Genomic DNA, 16,801 nt, shown 5'->3' on the forward strand with positions numbered 1-16,801 from the left:
GTTTTGGTATGTTCTGATTCTATTTTCATTCTTTCCAAAAATTTTTTGATTTTTGCCTGAATTTCATTTTGACCTAACAATTATTCAAAAGCAGATTATTTAGTATTTGTGTAGTTTTAAGGGATCCTCTGGGTGTCAATTTATAGTCTTATTCCCCTGTGGTTCGAATAAGGTACTTAATATTATTTCAAGTTTTAAAAATTTATTAAGACTTTCCTTGTGGCCTAGCACATGGTCAATTTTTGAGACTATCCCTTGTGCAGGCAAGAAGAATGTATATCCTATTGTTCTAGGGTAGAAAATTCTGTAAATGTCTGTTAAGTCTAGCATCCAATTTAACCAGAATTTCTTTTTTGATCTTCTGCATCAATGACCTGTCTAGTGCTGTCAGTGGGGTATTGACATTCACTATAATTTTATTGGGATCTGTATTTTTTTCTTAGGCCTTAGACAAATACTTTGTAGTATTTGTCGTATCAGTCTGGGTGCTCTCGTGTTGAATTCATCTCCTTATCTTATATAATGATGTTCTTTGTCTTTTTAAACTGTTGTTGATTTGAAGTGTTTTATCTGATATATGCATAGCTATTCCTGCTCACTTTTGGTTTTTGTCTGCATGAAGTCTCTTTTTACTCACCTTTATTTGGAGTCTGTAAATGTCTTTACCATTTAGGTAGGTTTCTTCTATGCAGCATGTAGTTGGATCTTGTTTTGTTATCCATTCTGCCAGCCTATATTTTTTAAGTGGAGCATTTAGTCCATTTATATTTATGGTTAGTTTTGGTACATGAAGTTTTGTCCCTGCCATAATGTTAGTTATTACTTGGTTGCTTTGCAGTCTCAGTTGTGTAATTGTTTCATATAACCTGTGAGTTTTACATTTTCATGTGTTTTTGTGATGATGAGAATCATCCTTTCATTTCCACGTTTAGAACTTCTTTGAGCATTTCTTACAGGACGAGTCTAGTGTTGATGAATTCTTAGTGTTTGCTTACCTTAAAAAGACTTTATTTCTCTTTAATTAGTGAAGATTAGTTTAGCAGAATACAACATTCTTGGCTGGCATTTGTTTTCTTTAAGAAGACTGAAAACAGGACCCCGGTCTCTTCTGGCATATAATGTTTCAGCTGAGAAGTCCACTGTTAGTATGATGAGATTTCCTTCATAGGTGATTAGATGCTTCTCTCTTGCCACTGTTAGCACTTTTTGGTTCATGTTTACTTTGGATACTCTGATGACTATATTCCTTGGTGAGATTCTTGCAATGTATCCTTCAGGAGTTCTCTGAGTTTATTGTATCTGAATGTCTAGATCTCTAGCAAGACCAGGGAAGTTTTCCTGAATTATTGCCTTACCTGGTTTTTCATACTTTTTACTTTTTCTTCTTCTCCCTTAAGAATACCTGCAAATCATATGTTTGGATGCTTTACATAGTCCCGTATTTCTCAAAGTCTTTGTAAATTCTTTTTGCTTTATTTTTATCTGACTGTGTTATTCTAAAAGACCTGTCTACCACCTATAAAATAATTTTTCTGCTTGGACAAGTCTATTGTTGAAGATTTCAACTCTATTTTGTAAATCCTTCAGTGAATTTTTAATTTCCAAAAGTTCTGTTTTTGTTTTTTTTTAAAATAATGTCTGTCTCTTTTTATATCCCGAATTGTTTTTCTGAATTCTTTGTGTTGCTTTTCAACTTTCTCTTAGATATCATGGGCCTTCTTTAAAAGACAATATTTTGAGTTCTTTATCTGATATTTCAAAAAGTACATTTTGGTTAATACACATTGCTAGAGAGTTAATGTGGTCCTTTGGGGGTGTTGAAATATTCTGGGTTTTTTTATACTTTCAGAATTGTTTCTCTGATTTCTTCTCATCTGGATAAGCTATCTCTCCATATTTTTAAATTTTCTGCATTTTGATGGGATTTTTCTTCCCTTGAGGATGTGACTATAATGTGTGTTGTGCAGAATATTTGGCTTTGGTTCTGGGTTCTTTCAGTGGCAAAGACTCTGTATAAGTTCCTTGATTATAGATGGCCTTTGTATGGTGACTTTCTCAGATGCTGGGTGTAGTAACAATGTACTGGGTATGAAAGCAGGCTCACTGTGTCCTGTGAGGCCGGCATGCAGCGGTATCAGGAAGCTTATCTCATTTACCAGTGTTGTGCACTTGGGTCAGCAGATTTTCTTTTAGGTTGTGCAGATCATTCTCCAAGGATTGAAAAGACAATCCTTTCTCCATCGAACTTCCTTTTACCATTTGTTAAAGATCAGTTGACTATATTTGTATGAGTCTATTTCTGTGCTCTCTACTCTGTTCCACTGATCTATGTGTTCATTCTTTATCAATATCACACTGTAATTTTACTGTAATCAGTAGTAACACAAATTATTTTGACAAAGGTGCAAAAGTAATTCAACAAATTAGCAAGTGGTGCTGGGGCAATTGGACTTACATGGGCAAAAATATATTCATTCATCTAAGTTTCATACCTTGTACAGATATTAAGTTGATAAAAGATTTAAATGTAAAAATAAAACTTTTTTAAAAATATGGGGGGATTGGGATCTAGTCTGTGGCAAAGAGTTTTTAGACATCAAAAGTAAGATATGTAAAATGAAAAGGTGATAAATTAAACTTATCAAAATTAGAAAACTTTGCTCTGTGAAAAATTTTTTTAAAGAGATAAAAATATAAGCCATAAGCTCAGTGAAAATATCTGGAAATTACATATCTGACAAAGGATTAGTATCTAGATACTATATACCTATGTATACACATATCATAATTCAACTGTGAAAAATCAAATAATTAAGTTAAAAATGGGCAAAAATCATGAGACATTTCACCAAAGAAAAACAGATGGGAACTTAGCTCATGAAAAGTTGCTTAAGTTCATTAGCCACCAGTAAAATGCAAATTCAGACCAATGATATCTCATTAAAAACAATGAGATATCACTAAACACTTAACAGAATGACTTAAATAGCAAGCGGTGACAATACCAAGTGCTTGTGACAACATGGAGAACCTGGATCACTCACACATTGTAGAATGTAAAATGAAACAGTAATGCTGAGGAACTATTTGGTGCAAGAGGCTTAGCTTTTACTCTATCTGGGCTCTCAACATGCCTTCCTCACTAAGCTTAATCATTTCTAGCTAACTTAAAATGAGAGAAATGATACTTTTTCTTTCACTTGAACATAGTGGTCATTGCAGTGTTATTTGTTGGCTTAGTTTCAATATTGTTGTGTCTCAGGGAATAGGGAAGTCCAAGGAGAGGGAGAGAGATGAGGGAATTGGCTGATTGATGGGGAGGTCAGGACACACACATTTATTGATTAAGTTTGCTCTCTTATATGGATGCGGTTTATGGCACCTAAAACAATTACAATAGTAACGTCAAAAATCACTGATTATAGATCACCATAACAGATATAATAAGAATGAAAAAGTTTGAAATATTGCAAGAATTACTAAAATATGACAGAGGCAAGAAGTGAGCACTTGCTGTTAGAAAATTGGTGCTTATAGAATTGCTTGATGCAGGGTTGCCATAAACCTTCAATTTGTAAAAAAAAAAAGAAATGCAGTATCTGCAAAGCGAAGTAAAGCACAATACATAAGATCTATCTGTATAAAAAATAAACAGTTTAATTTAAAAAATCTTGGGGCAATATTCCATATTAAGATGTGCAAAGGAAAATTAAACAGTCTCAGGATCCCCCAAACTTCTTATGCAAAAGGAAAAAAGGCTGAGTCTTGCAGTACTCTTTTCCAAACGAATATCTGTTACTAATACTATGTCTCAGCCAGATCCCTATGGATAGGTAAAAGGCCTCCAGCATCTGCTGAAGGACTGCCTCCACAGGTCTTTCAGAAATAAATCTTTTGCTGGCTTTCCATAAACAATCACATGCCAATTATAACCTTTAGGAGCTATCTAATTTTAGCTCCTAAAACTCCACACTGATACTGTCATTACAAGCTCATTTTCTCAGGTGGAGAATAAAGGCCAGATTCATTTCCCCCACCTACCCAGAGATATCTGCATAATTGGTTTTTCCTTTACTCCGCTTTTCTTTTCAAACATTCACCTTGTCTTATGTAAAATGTAGTTTTACTGGGCACTAACTAAAGTCTCACAGAAATGTAACTATTTGCCTAACCTCCTTCCCTACATACCTTCCGCCTCCAACTCTAAGGGAAGATATAAATACTAAATTTCCTGAAAACCTCTTTGGAGAAACAGCCATACATGTGTCTGTGGCTTGTCTTTTTCCTGGATGCACCATAAGCAGGCTTAATAAACCTCAGTGATTAAGAGTTATGCCTCAGTCACTCATTTTAGTTGTCAGATGCCCTCATAGGTCAAGGTTCCTACAAAAAAAAGTCAAACCAGAGAGACAGCTGGCTTTCTTTCCCAAGCTCAATACTTGAACACTTAAAGTGGAGAAACAAAACAACAACAACAAAGAAATGTAGAAAATAATTTAAAAATTCTTGGCATGAGAGGCATTATTTTGAACCCTTGTGCAGGGATGCAGCTTTTCCCTGAAGAAGGAAATAGCCAGGTGAGGCTGTGGGAAGACAACAAATAAAGGAACTGTTTAAAGTTCTGCTTTTGCTTCTCCCCTGACATTGCCTCAGGACAAACAGTTCCTGATCTTTGCACTGGCTGCTACTCAAAGCTCTAGTCCAGTTACCGTCAGAAGTAAATTCATGCCTGATAAGAAGTCTTATAGCTATGAAGATGAGATTTAAAAAAAAAATACTTTCAAGCAGTTATTTCCAATACCTCCCTATTCAAATTCTCCAAGGGCTAGTAAATTATAATTTAAAGAGGTTCTCCTAATAAACTTCTCCCATATTTGCGGGAATTAGGAGTGTTTTTATTGTTCTGTTTATCTTTTGGTCTCTGGGGCTCTCTCCCCAAGAGCTCATCCAGCTCCTTCATCCCAGGAGGTGACTGGAGCTCACTAGACTGGAGACTGCTTTTCTTCTGCATGTACTGCCTGACAGTGTAGCCAGTATTCTCATGGGATATAAGCTCACAAACTAAAATAATAAGTCTTTGAAGAGTTCAAATATTTCAAAAGAAATTAAACATGCTTTATTAAAGATTCTAATAGAGCACAAGTACTAGAACAAAAGGACCAAGAATATAAAATTATCCAAATTAACATATGAAAAGAGACAAGGGAAAATATTAGGAATAATTAAGGTATGAAAGTTTTTAAAAATCAAGCTATATTAGTTATGAAAAATAAAATAATTGAAATAGGTAAACTTTAAATAATTTTTAAAATATGAAAGGTCTCAGACTGAACAACCCATAATAGGTCAAAGAGGAGCATTAAGGAAAAGCACATACCTATTTGCTATCTGTGGTGAATCTGCACACATCTACAGCAATCTCAATTATTTCCTCTGCAGAAGGAAAAAATTCAACCAAGGGACATAAGGCAGAATGAAAGAGTGAGGTAAAGTTTAGAATAGGAGTGAAAGTTGATTAAAAGGCTTTAGAGTAGGAATGAAAGGAAGTGAAGTACACTTGGAAGAGGGCCAAGCAGGCAACTTGAGAAATCAACTGTGTGGTTTGAACTGGAGTTTTATACACTGGCGTGTGTATTACTCCATTTTCACAATGCTATAAAAAAACTACCTGAGACTGGGTAATTTATAAAGAAAAAAGACTTAATTGATTTGCAGTTCCACATGGCTTGGAGGCCTCAGGAACCTGACAATCAGGGCAGAAGATGAAGAGGAAGCAAGGCATGTCTTACACGGCTACCGGAGAAAGAGTGAGGCAGAAAGTGCCACATGCTTTCAAACAAGATCTTGTGAGATCTTTACTCACTGTCACTAGCACAGAAAGGGGGAAGTCCATCCCCGTGATTTAATCATTTCCTATGACACCCCTTCACTGACACATGGGGATTACAATTCAAGATGAGATGTGGGTGGGGACACAGAGCCAAACCATATCATTCCACCTCTGGACCATTCCAAATCTCATGTCCTTCTCACATTTCAAAACACAATCACACCTTCCCAACAGTCCCTCAAAGTCTTAACTCATTCCAACATTAACCCAAAAGTCTAAGTCCAAAGTCTCATCTGAGACAAGGCAAATCCCTTCCACCTATGAGCCTATAAAATTAAAAGCAAGTTCATTATTTCCAAGATAAAATGGGGGTGCAGGCATTGGGTAAATGTTCCCATTCCAAATGGAAGAAATTGGCCAAAACAAAGGGGCCACAGGTCCCATGCAAGTCTGAAACCCAGTGGGGCACTCATTAAATCTTAAAGCTCTAAAATGATCTCCTTTGACTCCATGTCTCACATCCTTGTCAAGATGATACAAGGGATAGATCCCAAGGTCTTGGACACCTCTGCCCCTGTGGCTCTGCAGGGTATACCCTCACAGCTGCTTTCACAAGCTGTCATTGAGTACCTGCTGCTTTTCCAGGCCCATGGTGTAAGCTGTCAGTGGATCTACCATTCTGTGGTCTGGAGTATGGTGGCCCTCTTCTCACAGCTCCACCAGGCAGTGTCCCGGGGGACCTCTGTGTGGGGGCTCCAACCCCACACTTCCCCACTGCACTGCCCTAGTGGAGATTCTCCATGAGGGCTCTGCCCCTGCATCAGACTTCTGCTGAGACATACAGGCATTTTCATACATCCTCTGAAATCTAGGCAGAGCCTCCCAAACTCTTACCTTCTGTGCACCTGCAGGCCCAACAACACGTGGAAGATGCCAAGGCTTGGGGCTTGCACCCTCTGAAGCAGTGGCCTGAGCTGTACCTTGACCCCTTTTAGCCATGGCTGGAGCTGGAGCTGGAATGGCTGGGACACAAGACACCATGTCCTAAGGCTGCACAGAACAGCGAGCCCCTGTGTCCAGTCTACAAAACCATTTTTCCCTCCTAGGCCTCCAGGTCTTTGATGGGAGGAGTTGCCATGAAGATCTCTGAAATGCCTTGGAGACATTTTCCTCACTGTCTTAAGGATTAACATTCAGTTCCCCTTTACTTATGCAAATTTCTGAAAACACTGGTTTGAATTCCTCCCCAGTAAATGGGTTTTTCTTTTCTACCACATGGTCCCAGCAAATTTTCCAAACTTACATGCTCTGCTTTCCTTTTAAACATAAGTTCCAATTTCAGATCATCTCTTTGTGAACACAGATGACTATACGTAGTTAGGAGCAACCAGGCCACTTTTTAACAATGCTCCTTAGAAATTTCTTCCACCAGATACCCTAAATCCTCTCTTTGAAGTTCAAAGTTCCACAGATCTCTAGGACAGGGAGAAAATGCCACCAGTCTCTTTGCTAAAGCGTAGCAAATGTTACCCTACTCTAGTTCCCAATATTTGTGTTGTCTCCATCTGAGACCACCTCAGCTTGGATTTCATTGTCCATATCACTATTAGCATTTTGATCAAAACCAGTTAACAAGTCTCCACGAAGTTCCAAACTTTCCCACATCTTACTGTCCTCTTCTGAGCCTTCTAAACTGTTCCAACTTCTGCATGTTATCCAGTTCCAAAGTCGCTTCCACAGTTTTAGATATCTTTATAGCAGTGCCCCATGCCTGGTACCAGTTTTCTGTATTCTTCTGTTTTCAAACTACTATAAAAAACTACCCAAGACTGGGTAATTTATAAAGAAAAGGGGTTTAATTGACTCACAGCTCTGCATGGCTGGAGAGAAAGGAAACTTAGAATCATGGAGGAAGGCAAAGAGAAAGCAAGGCCTGTCTTACATGGCAGCAGAAGAGAGAGAGAGAGAGCAAAGAAAGCCACACACATTTAAACCATCAGATCTCATGAGAACTCACTCACTATCATGAGAACAGCAAAGCAGAAGTCTGCCCCCCATGGTTCAATCACCTCCTATCAGGCCCCTCCCCAGACACATTGGGATTACAATTCAAGATGAGATTTGAATAGGGACACAAAGCCAAACCATATCAGCATGCTTCTGGGGTCTTATATTCCTTATCCCCTGATTCTTTCCTTAGGGTGGGCTGTCTGTATGTACAGTGGCCTGCTAGCTCTTGGGAGGGGAGCATGCACAGTGTTTTTACTGGAATTGTATGCATTCTCACATGAGGTATTTTTCCCTTACCAGTCAAATGTCCCTAGAAGGTCATATGCCAGTTAAACTCCACCATTTTTGTCTCTTAATGCACATGCTTGAGGACATTTGCCCAACTCCCAACTTCTGAGATCTTATTGGAAAGCTGCTGATCACCAGTTTCAGGTGTTTCTGTTTATTGGAAGACTGCTTTTCCCTGGCACTGGTTGTGACCGATTATTATATTAGAGAGAAAGTTAACAACTGCCTGACCATCACCTAATGGTTGCCTGATATCCTTGGGTGAGGGTAGGGGGAGTGGGTGGAGGGGGATAGGGGAATCCCTCTCCTGCTCTGCTCATGTCCTACTAGCTACCTGCTGTAATATATCCATGCTAAAATGGTATGTTTGAATATTAAAACAAAGGGAAATTTTTTGAAAGCTTACAGAAACACATGATTACATATAAAAGATCAAGAATTGGATTGATGGCGTTTTTTAAATATAAAAATGGGAATGATACGATAACAAAATACTCTCAAAGTATTGATGAAGAGTAAAGACCAGAATGTTATAAATAGACAAACTCTTGGTAAGTCTTTAATATCAATAGTCATTTACTTTTATCCAGAAATCAAACATGAGGTTTCTGGAGTGGTGATCAAAGTTATTATTTAAAGCAATAACTGTACTTGTTTCCCTGTGCTTCATACTCCACAAATTATGTGATGAGAGCCAGATATTATGCCATACGTGTGGGGATTTATACTTCAGGAGAGGAAAACTGAAATTCTAAATTTGGAAATTTGTTTGGATTAGCTAATCAACGGGCACCTTCTCTTCTAAGAGAAGGAGATAAGTCTAATCTCCACAATGTAAACAACTTCTTGAGAAGAGAAATGAAAACTCCCTGGGTTCCTAATCTTTTGACTGTAAGTAAGTATCTCTAGGAAGAAGATAAGACATCATTTCAATTTATAATTCTGAAAATTTATCTATGGTTCTGGGCTTTATCTCCCTTTAAAATTTAAACACTTATCTTCAAGCAGGTAAATCTACCCAGAGTTCTTTCACAATCTATTCAATCATCATTTAGCTTTCAAGATTTCTCCTTTAACCTAGATTTCTGTTTTCTTCACTCAAAAAGCCCTAAGTATACACACAAAAATGTAAATATTCACTTCCTGAAGATTGTCACTCAAATATAGGGATGTGATTAAAATATTCTCAGACTTTCAATGCCACAGATATTTGCCACACTAAAACCTATTCTGAAAACAGTTCTAGAAAAAGTACACAGGTTAAAAAAATCCAGGAAATATTATAAGATATATATGAAGAAACAAGGATCAAAAGCTTGTTAAAACTATGTCACTTAAAAATTTTTCTAACAAAAAAAGAGGAAATATAATAATAATAACCAAAAAATAAAAGTCTGGAGAATCTCAGCCTGATGAAGAAGGGTGGAAGGTGATGCATATGAACCGAAAGATGTGAGAACTAGCTAAAATTCTTGCCATTTAAAACAAGAACAAGTATAAGTTAAAAAAAATAAACTTAGAAACAGTAGAAAAAACTAAAACAAGAAATTAAAGTGACAGAAACAGATACAAATTCATCACTAACCACAATAAATGTAAATGGATTAAACAATACATTTACAGAATGGATAAAGACATGAAATAATAAAGACAATGCAGCAGAACATCCAAAGTATGAGATTGAAGGTAAGTAAAAAGACATAGGCAAATGCCAAAAGAAAGTATATAGGACTAATTTAATATCTGATAAAATGGGTGTGGATGTATAAAGTACAGAAACCACCTTTGTAAAATTATGATAATAAGAGAAATCTGACATAGTTGACTCCATCTTGCTTGTAACCTCCAAGCTTGATCATTCCTGACCATAGGACAAACTAATCTTGGGAAGAACTTATAGTTTAACCTTAAAGCAAGGATGATGATAGTCCTTTCTGCAACTAAACTGCCTTTGGAAAACTAATGAAAAGCTACAGGATTAGAATTATGAGAGAGGCCTGAATGCTGCTAAAATGTAAGCATAGTTAAATGATAACCAGCCATTTTCCTGGAGGTTGCAAAATTTGTAACTTCCCCAGATGGTTCTATAGATACTATCACTATTGTAGAATCTAAGATTGGTTGTTTGAGAAGTTTTTGCAGACTTTTATATTCTGAGAACCCCACGTGGACCCATGACTCATGATTTAACCAGCCCTGTGGTCCCCAACCCAGAGATAGATTCAGCACATGAGCATCATTTTCCACACCCTTATAATGACATCCCCAATCAGTAGGCAGCACCCAACCCCTAGTCCCTTTCCCACCAAACTGTTCTTGAAAAATCCTAATCACTGACTCTTTGGGGAGACTGATTTGAGTGATAACTACATTATTCATGTAGCCGGCCTTGTGTCAATTAAAGCCTTTCTTTACTGCAACGCCATGGTCTCAGTGAAGTGTTTTTTTGTCTTTCTGTTCAGCAGGCAGGAAGAATCCATTGAGCAGTTATAGTACTTATTAAAGATGAACTATCATTATCTCCTGAAAAATGTTTCAACAAACTAAGATATAGCAATTTTAAACATGTATGCACCTAATTTTAAAATGCACTTAATATTTATTTATTTGTTTATTTATTTATTTATTTATTTATTTATTGTCTGAGACAGAGTCTCATTCTGTTGCCCAGGCTGGAGTGCAGTGGCACGATCTCAGCTCACTGCAACCTCTGCCTACCAGGTTCAAGCTATTCTCCTGCCTCAGCCTCCTGAGTGGCTGGGATTACAGGTGCGCACCACCATGCCCAGGTAATTTTTGAATTTTTAGTAGAGACAGGGTTTAGCTATGTTGGCCAGGCTGGTCTCAAACTCCTGACCTCAAGTGATCTGCCCACCTTGGCCTCCAAAGTTATAGGATTACAGGCGTGAGCCACTGTGCCCAGCCTAAGATACACTTAATTTAGAATTAAGGGAGAAACTGATAAATCCACTGTCATGGATTTCAACATATCTCAATTGATAGGTTAAGTACACAAAATAATAGAAAAAAATACTGATCTGAACACAATTAACAAATTTAAACTAGTGCACATAGATGTAGAGTTTTACAGCCATTAATCAAAGAATGTATATTTTTTCTCAAGCATATATGGAAGATAAATTATGATATTGTATCATAAAGGAAATAAAGACAACACATTTCAAAAGTACCATAGATACTATACAGATCTTGATATCTAATGACAATACAACTGAAGTAATTTTTTTCAAGATTTAAAAATTTTTCTTTATATTTGCAAATTTTAAACAAAACCCTGTTGAAGAATTCATGATGAATAATGAAGGAGCAAGATAAATAAATAATTTCTAGATTTATAAGACAATAAAGGATAATGAAAAGCTTACAGAGTAACACCTAAGAGATGTGGTCAACATGGGCTCAAGTGGTCCTTTGAGAGAGATTTATAGCCTTAAATATCTGTATTAGAAAAGAAAAATCTTTAAAATCAATTGTGCTAATAAATATTTTTTTTCTTTTTTTTTTTTATTATACTTTAAGTTTTAGGGTACATGTGCACATTGTGCAGGTTAGTTACATATGTATACATGTGCCGTGCTGGTGCGCTGCACCCACTAACTCGTCATCTAGCATTAGTTATATCTCCCAATGCTATCCCTCCCCCCTCCCACCACCCCACAACAGTCCCCAGAGTGTGATATTCCCCTTCCTGTGTCCATGTGATCTCATTGTTCAATTCCCACCTATGAGTGAGAATATGCGGTGTTTGGTTTTTTGTTCTTGTGATAGTTTACTGAGAATGATGATTTCCAATTTCATCCATGTCCCTACAAAGGACGTGAACTCATCCTTTTTTATGGCTGCATAGTATTCCATGGTGTATATGTGCCACATTTTCTTAATCCAGTCTATCATTGTTGGACATTTGGGTTGGTTCCAAGTCTTTGCTATTGTGAATAATGCCGCAATAAACATACGTGTGCATGTGTCTTTATAGCAGCATGATTTATAGTCATTTGGGTATATACCCAGTAATGGGATGGCTGGGTCAAATGGTATTTCTAGTTCTAGATCCCTGAGGAATCGCCACACTGACTTCCACAATGGTTGAACTAGTTTACAGTCCCACCAACAGTGTAAAAGTGTTCCTGTTTCTCCACATCCTCTCCAGCACCTGTTGTTTCCTGACTTTTTAATGATTGCCATTCTAACTGGTGTGAGATGGTATCTCACAGTGGTTTTGATTTGCATTTCTCTGATGGCCAGTGATGATGAGCATTTTTTCATGTGTTTTTTGGCTGCATAAATGTCTTCTTTTGAGAAGTGTCTGTCCATGTCCTTCGCCCACTTTTTGCTGGGGTTGTTTGTTTTTTTCTTGTAAATTTGTTTGAGTTCATTGTAGATTGTGGATATTATCCCTTTGTCAGATGAGTAGGTTGTGAAAATTTTCTCCCATTTTGTAGGCTGCCTGTTCACTCTGATGGTAGTTTCTTTTGCTGTGCAGAAGCTCTTTATTTTAGTTAGATCCCATTTGTCAGTTTTGTCTTTTGTTGCCATTGCTTTTGGTGTTTTGGACATGAAGTCCTTGCCCATGCCTATGTCCTGAATGGTAATGCCTAGGTTTTCTTCTAGGGTTTTTATGGTTTTAGGTCTAACGTTTAAATCTTTAATCCATCTTGAATTGATTTTTGTATAAGGTGTAAGGAAGGGATCCAGTTTCAGCTTTCTACATATGGCTAGCCAGCTTTCCCAGCACCATTTATTAAATAGGGAATCCTTTCCCCATTGCTTGTTTTTCTCAGGTTTGTCAAAGATCAGATAGTTGTAGGTATGTGGCGTTATTTCTGAGGGCTCTGTTCTGTTCCATTGATCTATATCTCTGTTTTGGTACCAGTACCATGCTGTTTTGGTTACTGTAGCCTTGTAGTATAGTTTGAAGTCAGGTAGTGTGATGCCTCCAGCTTTGTTCTTTTGGCTTAGGATTGACTTGGCGATGCGGGCTCTTTTTTGGTTCCATATGAACTTTAAAGTAGTTTTTTCCAATTCTGTGAAGAAAGTTATTGGTAGCTTGATGGGGATGGCATTGAATCTGTAAATTACCTTGGGCAGTATGGCCATTTTCACGATATTGATTCTTCCTACCCATGAGCATGGAATGTTCTTCCATTTGTTTGTATCCTCTTTTATTTCTTTGAGCAGTGGTTTGTAGTTGTCCTTGAAGAGGTCCTTCACATCCCTTGTAAGTTGGATTCCTAGGTATTTTATTCTCTTTGAAGCAATTGTGAATGGGAGTTCACTCATGATTTGGCTCTCCGTTTGTGTGTTGTTGGTGTATAAGAATGCTTGTGATTTTTGTACATTGATTTTGTATCCTGAGACTTTGCTGAAGTTGCCTATCAGCTTAAGGAGATTTTGGGCTGAGACAATGGGGTTTTCTAGATATACAATCATGTCATCTGCAAACAGGGACAATTTAACTTCCTCTTTTCCTAATTGAATACCCTTTATTTCCTTCTCCTGCCTAATTGCCCTGGCCAGAACTTCCAACACTATGTTGAATAGGAGTGGTGAGAGAGGGCATCCCTGTCTTGTGCCAGTTTTCAAAGGGAATGCTTCCAGTTTTTGCCCATTCAGTATGATATTGGCTGTGGGTTTGTCATAGATAGGTCTTATCATTTTGAAATACGTCCCAGCAATACCTAATTTATTGAGAGTTTTTAGCATGAAGGGTTGTTGAATTTTGTCAAAGGCTTTTTCTGCATCTATTGAGATAATCATGTGGTTTTTGTCTTTGGCTCTGTTTATATGCTGGATTACGTTTATTGATTTGCGTATATTGAACCAGCCTTGCATCCCAGGGATGAAGCCCACTTGATCATGGTGGATAAGCTTTTTGATGTGCTGCTGGATTCGGTTTGCCAGTATTTTATTGAGGATTTTTGCATCAATGTTCATCAAGGATATTGGTCTAAAATTCTCTTTTTTTGTTGTGTCTCTGCCCGGCTTTGGTGTCAGAATGATGCTGGCCTCATAAAATGAGTTAGGGAGGATTCCCTCTTGTTCTATTGATTGGAATAGTTTCAGAAGGAATGGTACCAGTTCCTCCTTGTACCTCTGGTAGAATTCGGCTGTGAATCCACCTGGTCCTGGACTCTTTTTGGTTGGCAAACTATTGATTATTGCCACAATTTCAGATCCTGTTATTGGTCTATTCAGAGATGCAACTTCTTCCTGGTTTAGTCTTGGGAGAGTGTATGTGTTGAGGAATTTATCCATTTCTTCTAGATTTTCCAGTTTATTTGCGTAGAGGTGTTTGTAGTATTCTCTGATGGTAGTTTGTATTTCTGTGGGATCGGTGGTGATATCCCCTTTATCATTTTTTATTGTGTCTATTTGATTCTTCTCTCTTTTTTTCTTTATTAGTCTTGTTAGCAGTCTATCAATTTTGTTGATCCTTTCAAAAAACCAGCTCCTGGATTCATTGATTTTTTGAATGGTTTTTTGTGTCTCTATTTCCTTCAGTTCTGCTCTGATTTTAGTTATATCTTGCCTTCTGCTAGCTTTTGAATGTGTTTGCTCTTGCTTTTCTAGTTCTTTTAATTGTGATGTTAGGGTGTCAATTTTGGATCTTTCCTGCTTTCTCTTGTGGGTATTTAGTGCTATAAATTTCCCTCTACACACTGCTTTGAATGTGTCCCAGAGATTCTGGTATGTCGTGTCTTTGTTCTCGTTGGTTTCAAAGAACATCTTTATTTCTGCCTTCATTTCGTTATGTACCAGTAGTCATTCAGGAGCAGGTTGTTCAGTTTCCATGTAGTTGAGCGGCTTTGAGTGAGATTCTTAATCCTGAGTTCTAGTTTGATTGCACTGTGGTCTGAGAGATAGTTTGTTATAATTTCTGTTCTTTTACATTTGCTGAGGAGAGCTTTACTTCCAACTATGTGGTCAATTTTGGAATAGGTGTGGTGTGGTGCTGAAAAAAATATATATTCTGTTGATTTGGGGTGGAGAGTTCTGTAGATGTCTATTAGGTCCGCTTGGTGCAGAGCTGAGTTCAATTCCTGGATATCCTTGTTGACTTTCTGTCTCGTTGATCTGTCTAATGTTGACAGTGGGGTGTTAAAGTCTCCCATTATTAATGTGTGGGAGTCTAAGTCTCTTTGTAGGTCACTCAGGACTTGCTTTATGAATCTGGGTGCTCCTGTATTGGGTGCATATATATTTAGGATAGTTAGCTCTTCTTGTTTGAATTGATCCCTTTACCATTATGTAATGGCCTTCTTTGTCTCTTTTGATCTTTGTTGGTTTAAAGTCTGTTTTATCAGAGACTAGGATTGCAACCCCTGCCTTTTTTTGTTTTCCATTTGCTTGGTAGATCTTCCTCCATCCTTTTATTTTGAGCCTATGTGTGTCTCTGCATGTGAGATGGGTTTCCTGAATACAGCACACTGATGGGTCTTGACTCTTTATCCAATTTGCCAGTCTGTGTCTTTTAATTGGAGAATTTAGTCCATTTACATTTAAAGTTAATATTGTTGCATGTGAATTTGATCCTGTCATTATGATGTTAGCTGGTGATTTTGCTCGTTAGTTGACGCAGTTTCTTCCTAGTCTTGATGGTCTTTACATTTTGGCATGATTTTGCAGCAGCTGGTACCGTTTGTTCCTTTCCATGTTTAGCGCTTCCTTCAGGAGCTCTTTTAGGGCAGGCCTGGTGGTGACAAAATCTCTCAGCATTTGCTTGTCTGTAAAGTATTTAATTTCTCCTTCACTTATGAAGCTTAGTTTGGCTGGATATGAAATTCTGGGTTGAAAATTCTTTTCTTTAAGAATGTTGAATATTGGCCCCCACTCTCTTCTGGCTTGTAGGGTTTCTGCCAAGAGATCCGCTGTTAGTCTGATGGGCTTCCCTTTGAGGGTAACCCGACCTTTCTCTCTGGCTGCCCTTAACATTTTTTCCTTCATTTCAACTTTGGTGAATCTGACAATTATGTGTCTTGGAGTTGCTCTTCTTGAGGAGAATCTTTGTGGCGTTCTCTGTATTTCCTGAATCTGAACATTGGCCTGCCTTGCTAGATTGGGGAAGTTCTCCTGGATAATATCCTGCAGAGTGTTTTCCAACTTGGTTCCATTCTCCCCATCACTTTCAGGTACACCAATCAGACGTAGATTTGGTCTTTTCACATAGTCGCATATTTCTTGGAGGCTTTGCTCATTTCTTTTCATTCTTTTTTCTCTAAACTTCCCTTCTCGCTTCATTTCATTCATTTCATCTTCCATTGCTGATACCCTTTCTTCCAGTTGATCGCATCGGCTCCTGAGGCTTCTGCATTCTTCACGTAGTTCTCGAGCCTTGGTTTTCAGCTCCATCAGCTCCTTTAAGCACTTCTCTGTATTGGTTATTCTAGTTATATATTCTTCTAAATTTTTTTCAAAGTTTTCAACTTCTTTGCCTTTGGTTTGAATGTCCTCCCGTAGCTCAGAGTAATTTGATCGTCTGAAGCCTTCTTCTCTCAGCTCGTCAAAGTCATTCTCCATCCAGCTTTGTTCCGTTGCTGGTGAGGAACTGCGTTCCTTTGGAGGAGGAGAGGCGCTCTGCGTTTTAGAGTTTCCAGTTTTTCTGTTCTGTTTTTTCCCCATCTTTGTGGTTTTATCTACTTTTGGTCTTTGATG

At 37.7% G+C, this 16,801-nt stretch overlaps 1 annotated feature.

Moving 5' to 3' along the window:
- Nucleotides 2,060-2,260: a silencer, noted in NCBI's record as "peak5125 fragment used in MPRA reporter construct". NCBI's record gives its function as "represses an SCP1 promoter by STARR-seq MPRAs in K562 erythroleukemia cells {active_cell/tissue: K562}" and the evidence as "EXISTENCE:reporter gene assay evidence [ECO:0000049][PMID:32103011]".

This window comes from Homo sapiens, chromosome 4 (genome assembly GCF_000001405.40).
Source record: "Homo sapiens chromosome 4, GRCh38.p14 Primary Assembly".
In the NCBI taxonomy this organism is placed as follows: Eukaryota; Metazoa; Chordata; class Mammalia; order Primates; family Hominidae; genus Homo; species Homo sapiens.